The 7215-nt window shown below is 37.0% G+C and overlaps 1 annotated feature.

Annotated features, from left to right (window-relative positions):
- Positions 6815-7015: a silencer, noted in NCBI's record as "peak787 fragment used in MPRA reporter construct". NCBI's record gives its function as "represses an SCP1 promoter by STARR-seq MPRAs in K562 erythroleukemia cells {active_cell/tissue: K562}" and the evidence as "EXISTENCE:reporter gene assay evidence [ECO:0000049][PMID:32103011]".

Genomic DNA, 7215 nt, shown 5'->3' on the forward strand with positions numbered 1-7215 from the left:
GCACCCACACAAGAAACAGGGAAAAAACGACCTTGAAGCTCATTATACTCAAAATGCTAAAGAAGTTAGATAAAAACTTAAATAGTAGAAAAAGAAGAAATAATAGAATTGCATGTTTATCAATTTTAAGGAGACTATGAGAGACGACGTCCTAGAAGTTTCAGAAAAAAAAATATTGAGGAAAAGATCAGCAGATGTAACTACATATAAACTAAAAATTCAAGTATGTTCTACTTTTTAAAATAGTGCATAAACAAATTAAACAAATTGAAGAGACAAGCAATAGAGTAGAAAACAACAAATGTAGAAGATAAAAGGATATTACATATGCTTATTTGTATGTATATAATACATATCACATAATAATATAATATAATACATGTATAATATAATACATATCCCATAATAATAATTAAAAACACTAAGATTTTAATAAACTGCCAAAACAATAACCAAAAGATTCACATACAACAAATCTAACTATTAAATTTACAGGAAAATGTTCAACCCTGTTAGAAAGAATAATGTAAAGAATAATTTGTAGATTAGAATAATGCATTTTATACCAAAGAAATTAGAAAATTTTTAAAGCAATAGTTTTATAAAGTAATGTTATTTATTATTTCATAATGATAATTTAAGATTTAGTAATATTATTTAAAGTAATATTATTTATTCCTGGAAAAGGCATATTTTAATTCATATTTTCATGCATTACCAGTGATAGTATAAAGTGGTATCAACCTTTCAGAAGCAATTTGGAACTATGCGTCAAGGACTCAACATATGTTCATACCCATGAATTTACTGATTCCATTTCTGGAAATCTTTTTTTTTTTTTTTCTGAGACAGAGCCTTACTCTGTCACCCAGGCTGGCGTGCAGTGGCACAATCTCGGCTCACTGCAACCTCTGCCTCCCGGGTTCAAGCAATTCTCCTTGCCTCAGCCTCCCAAGTAGCTGTGATTACAGGTGCCTGCCACCACATCCGGCAATTTTTGTATTTTTAGTAGAGACAGGGTTTCGTCACGTTGGCCAGGCTGGTTTTGAACTCCTGACCTCAAGTGATCCACATGCCTCAGCCTCCCAAAGTGCTGGGATTACAGGCGTGAGCCACCGTGTCTGGCCTCATTTCTGGAAGTCTTTAACAAGCCAGCATTCCATAGCTGGCTTGTTAAAGACTGTATGGGATGGTGAATTTTAAAAATATATGGTTATATACAGCTAAGTATAAATACAATTTATGTAAGTATATATATTTAAACATAAACTTATAAAAACAATAGTTTGACAGTTTTAAACAAAAATAATCAAGGATTCTTTTTCTAATTTATCTATTGGTACCCATGATTTTTTTACATGATGTCATTTTCCCTTTTAAATCAGCCTCTAATATTTAAACCTTGATATATATAGTTTAAATTTCTTTCCCATAAATGGCTCCACATAAATTACTTGCTAGAGACTATATATTAACAATTATTTAAATACCAATGCACATTTTGGTTTATGCTATTTTAAAGACTTTTTTTTTAGACTGAAATCTAAGGGCTTACTTTGAAGAAGACATTCAGTTCTAAGAGCCAGGTTTCTATAACAGAAGACATAATGGAATGAATTTACTCCTTTAAATTTACTTATAAAGACATTTGGAAATTTTTTATTATGTATGTCAGAGGACCTGTCTGTAAAAGTCATTGTACATGTAAAAATTTTGAGTTACAAGTGAATTGCAAACTTTGAAGAATTTAAGGTCTTAATTAAAGGGTAATATATTTATATCTAATGCCATTATTATTTTTACTTTCAGAAAGTTAAATGGAGGGATATATCACATCCAAAAACTTCAACATTGGACAGGTCAAAATTATTTGAACATTTTGAAGGTTGGAAGGATGATGGTATACCTTTAAGAAACTACTTTGATGGGTACTAGCAAAGTGAGTCCTATCATACTTCACACATATCATTGGTTTTGTGTTTTCATTGAATGTGCTTTCAAATGTTTCAAAAGGTCTCAGAATCTTTAGGGAACCGTGGTTATTGTACAAGCAGCATATCAAAGAAGACTATACAAATAACGATACGATACCTCTCATGCCTCGTTCTTCCAGTAATAAGGAGTTTGGGATCCCTGTGCCCATTGACATTTTTCCCAGAGACGTGATTTGTTAGTAGTTTGCATAATTTGTAAGTGTAGCTTATTTGACAAAGCAGTACTTTGTAGTAATCTGTGCCAAGATCACCAATAAAATGAGTCTTCAAGTAATTTCAGATTCATCACTATGTCATTCAAGGCAAGTCAATTCAATGAACCTTAACTACAGTTCTACAAAATGCCTGGCACTCTAATAAATGATAGAAAGATGGCCAATATACAGGGCCCATGGTTAGCCAGAAAGAAGCCTTAGGAGAGTCTGGTTCAGAAAGGAGGCAGGTCAGATAAACCATGCCAACCATCAGGGTTATAGAGATTGAGGGCATGGAGGGGTCAACCTTCCCTGGGGAGTTCATCTTTCCAGGGAAGATGACATTTGAACTGCATCTTGAAAGGTTGACTAGAAACAAGCCAGGGTATGATACTCCAGGGAACAAATCATTCCGGGCAGTGGGTTGGCATGTAAAAGGCACAGAGACATGAAGCAGAGCATTCGAGGAACTACCAGACTGATCGCACTAGTCCATGGGGTGTGCTAGAAGGAAAAACCAAGGAACCAGTTGGAGCAAGTGATGGAGTTTGGAAATGGAAGATGTTCTAAATTGCAGGTGGTTGATTCTGGCCAAGGAGCGGAGGTTACGTTGGAGCGGCGAAGGCTGATGACAGAGAGACCAGTAACGTGGTGATCGCAATAGTTCAGTACCGGTGTTATGTTAACATTTCAGTAAGTTTCCCTACAGATATCATTTTAAAACAATTTCTTCCATTTTATAGTATAATTGATTGAAATTAAAAGTGTTAAGGGTTTTAAAACTGTGCAAGAAATTTATGAAATAAAAAGAGCTATCAGAAAGGAAGGCACTACACAAAAACTAATGGCAACTAAGAAAGGCTTTGCAGAGCTTAGGGGTAGCTCACCAGTGTCTTAAATCTAAGCCAAACTGCCACTCAAAAGACACTGTAACACTAAATGGAAGAACTGCGTGCTCAAGCCAGAAGGGCACATCAATCAAACTAACTTTCCCCTGGTAGATTTTCCATTGCTCTGTCATAATCTTTTTTTGTCCCCCTTAGGGCTAACTGAAAGTTAGATTAGCATTAGTGCAATATCTATGTGTCCAAAATGTAGACAGAAAGAAGACATTAGCTGAGATGGTTTCATCAGCACAATTATTATCGTTCCTTATAGAGTCCCTGCCAAATGCTGGATTTTGCAAAGCGAGAACTTTTTAGATGAAATACCAAGCTTCTGTCCTTGCTTTATAATAAGCAGTGTTAAACAATTAAATATTTTTAGACTTTGGGTGTGTGTGTGTGTTTGTGTGTGTGTGTTATGTTTTCTCTATTTTAGCTAAACTTGCTGAAAATAGCAACATTTGTCTTCCTTCACTTCAGATAAGATTGACAGGTGGCACTGTCTACATCTCGTCTACCTGGATGCCTTCTACCCCACCTCCTCTGGAACTCGCAGTAGAAACTCTCAGGTCTGGGCATTGTAGCTTCACAGATGGGTCAGGAAGGGCCCAGAAGAGTCCACTGCAACACCAGCCATTTGTGTCTTCAGGTAAAGCAATTATGTTTTCCACAGTTCTGCAGCATTTTCGAAGTGTAAACGTCCTTAGAGACCATGCTATTCAGCTCTTCATTATATAGATGAAGAAAGTTTCAGTAAAATTCCATTTTCACTGATTAGATTGGCAAAGTATAAAAAAGATTTACAATATTCAGTGGTGGTGAAGGTGTAAAGGGGAGCATCTTCGTTCCTGTTGAGGAAAACATCAAGCTGTACATTTTTGGAGGGCAGTTTGGCACTACCTGTACAATAGTTCTTTTGAGACAGGGTCTCACTGTGTCATCCGGGCTGAGTGCAGTGGTTCAATCACGGCTCATTGCAGCTTTGACTTCCCAGGCTCAAGTGATCTTCCCACCTCAGCCTCCTGAGTAGTTGGGACTACAGGTGTGTATCACTATGCCCAGATAATTTTTGATTTTTTGTAGAGATGGGGTCTTGCTATGTTGCCCAGGCTGGTCTAAAACTCCTGGACTCAAGCAATTCCCCTGCCTCAGCCTCCCAAAGTGCTGAGATTACAGGTGTGAGCTACCGTGCCCTGCCACAAATTTAAAATACATATAGACTTTGACTCAGCAATTCTATTTTTAAAAATTTATTTATTTACTTTATTTGATGTTGAACAGGGTTTCGCTCTGTCACCCAGGCTGGAGTGCAGCGGCGTGATCATGGCTCACTGCATCCTTGATCTCCCAGGCTCAAGTGATCCTTTCAACAAGTGATTCTCCTACCTTAGCCTCCCAAGGAGCTGGGAGTACAGGTGTGTACCACAATACCCGGCTAATTTTTTAATATTTTGTAGAGATGGGGTTTTGCCATGTTGCCCAGGCTGGTCTTGAACTCATGAGTTCAAGCAATCTGCCCATCTCAACCTGCCAAAGTGCTGGGATTACAGGCATGAGCCAGCAATTCCATTTTCAGAAAGCTATCTTAAAGAATCCTAATACATATGCATGAGGATATATGTATAGTTGTGCTTATTGAAAAATTTTTAGATGGTAAAAATCTAGTGTCAATCTAAGTGTCCATCAGTGATGGGAATTGTTAAATAAATGAAAGTATCTCTGTGTCATGAAATATAAGACTGCAGCAGGAAAGAATGTCCATGATATACTGTTAAGTGGAAAAAGCAAGTTAGAGGACAATAGTCTGATTCCATTTTTATAAAAAATATTTAAATGCTTATAGAGAAATATACAAAGTGATATATACCAAATTTTTAACAGAGATTATATTATGAGGTAGACTCAGAGTGAGGCAAAGTACATTTTTACTCTATATATTTAAATATTGCTTAAAATTTTTGTAATAAGCATGTATTACTTTCGTCCTTTTTTTAAGGAAGAAAAATCTGAGACTCAGATAAATGAAATAACTTGTTCAAATCACTCGAATGTTTAGTGACAAAGATAAGACCAGCCCCCAGGTTTCGAATCCCAGTCCAGTGCTTTTTCTACCAAACCAAGATCTAAGAGACATTTACCTGAACCTCTGGCTTTCTGTAGATCTAGTCAGATTTTGTATTTCTTCATAAAGTAATTATAAAATAGATAATTTACTGCTTTTATCAAGACATATAAATTTCTGAACCTCTAAACCAACAGTGTATTCCTCTTTAGATTTTTTTCTCTGTATTCTTTGGTTATTCCCGAAGAAATATTCACTTATGGTTACTAGAATGACCAATTTTGACCACTTCCCTAACCACTAATCCACAAACACAGGATTGAAATCACACATTGGGGCCAGGCATGGTGGCTCATGCCTGTGATCCCAGCACTTTGGGAGGCTGAGGCGGGCAGATCACCTGAGGTCAGGAGTTCAAGAACAGCCTGGCCAACGTGGCAAAACCCCGTCTCTACTAAAAAATACAAAAATTAGCCACGTGTGGTGGCAGGCGCCTGTAATCCCAGCTACTCAGGAGGCTGAGGCAGGAGAATCATTTGAACCCAGGAGGTGGAGGTTTCAGTGAGCCGAGATCATTGCACTCCAGCCTGGCCGACAGAGCAAGACTCCATCTCAAAAACAAAAACAAAAGAAAAAAGAAAGAAATCACACATTGGATATTATTCTCTAGCGGAACAGAAGACCCAGACTTTTCCAACAGAGTACGGATGTCTATTTGCAAACTACAGAGGAATTTGCTGTCATGTTTCCTCATCTGTTCTTAGACTATCTTCTGCAGTCTTACTCAACCACAGTCGTTATTTTTAGCCGCATTTTGGTATTCATGATGGATAGCACCACTGCTCTCCATTAAATTAAATTCAATACATGAACTTTTGGTTTACCTTAAAATCTACAGCAATATTAGCTTTTCCCATATGTGTGTTTTTTAAGTTTAATTTTGCTGATTCAAAAATTCAAGTGTAGGGTTAGATTTTTCAAACCTTAGGAATGACCATAATTATGGGGTTGATTTTTTTTTCCCAGTTAATAAATGAGGGGAAACATCTGAAAGCAATTCAAAGGCAGACTTAAAAAATAATGTGTTTAAAAGACTATTTAATTATGTGGGAATATGTTACAACACCACGCTAAATAAAAAGAGATACAGGAAAATGTGTATCCAAAATTATCCTTCTTCAGCAAATATATATATATATATATTTTTATATAATCATACATGCATAGATTAAGGTCTTGAAAGAAATAGATGTGGATATTAACAAGAACTCTGGGTGAGGAGACTGATTTCTATTTTCTTCCCTGTTTTCTCAAATGTTGTCAAAAAATGTTTACTTTTGACATCAGAAAAAGAAAGTTAAAAGATGGTGTACAAACTAATATAATCTAAAATAATACTTCCCAAATGTATTTTTCTGGGAATAGCAGTCAGTGATAGATACTCCTAAAAGAGAATGGAACAACCTCATCTTAATTTGCGTATACAGTTGCTGGTGGAGAAGGGAGCTGAAGTTTGACTTTGTAAAAGAAAAAATGGACTGCAGTAATCAAGAGAGAAATGAAGGAGACCAAGGGCAAGCGGAGAGAGGAAGGAGGTGCAGAGGCTGACTACTGATTTGCTTGGGTGGAGCTCAGATTTCAGACATGGAATGTACCAAGCCAGGGTGACTTCCAAGAGAGGACTTGGTAGAAAGTGGAGAAAGGGACGTGTGTTATCGAACGAAAGGGAAATTAAAACACTCCTCTGGGCACAGGAAAGGAACAGCATAGCTGGACTGCCTCTACTCACCCCTAACTTTCAGCCAGGGCTTGGCACAGTTTTCAGCACGTGTCAGCCTCTCCATTTTTCAGGAAGGTAAATGCAGGAAGATGTGGCATCTGAGAGACTGAGGCTGAGGCCACAATTATAGGGGAAACTGAACAAGCTGACATATACCAGTGAAGTCTTGCTGGCATCATGACCTTGGTGGAGAGCTTTGTTACTCAGATGAGGCCAGAAGATTCTGTAATTGAAAGTACTCTCTTGGGTCTTGACATATTTCTTGTGCAAATAGTAGGTTAAAAAAGGGATACTGATCTAA

Source organism: Homo sapiens, chromosome 1 (assembly GCF_000001405.40).
Source record: "Homo sapiens chromosome 1, GRCh38.p14 Primary Assembly".
Lineage (NCBI taxonomy): Eukaryota > Metazoa > Chordata > Mammalia > Primates > Hominidae > Homo > Homo sapiens.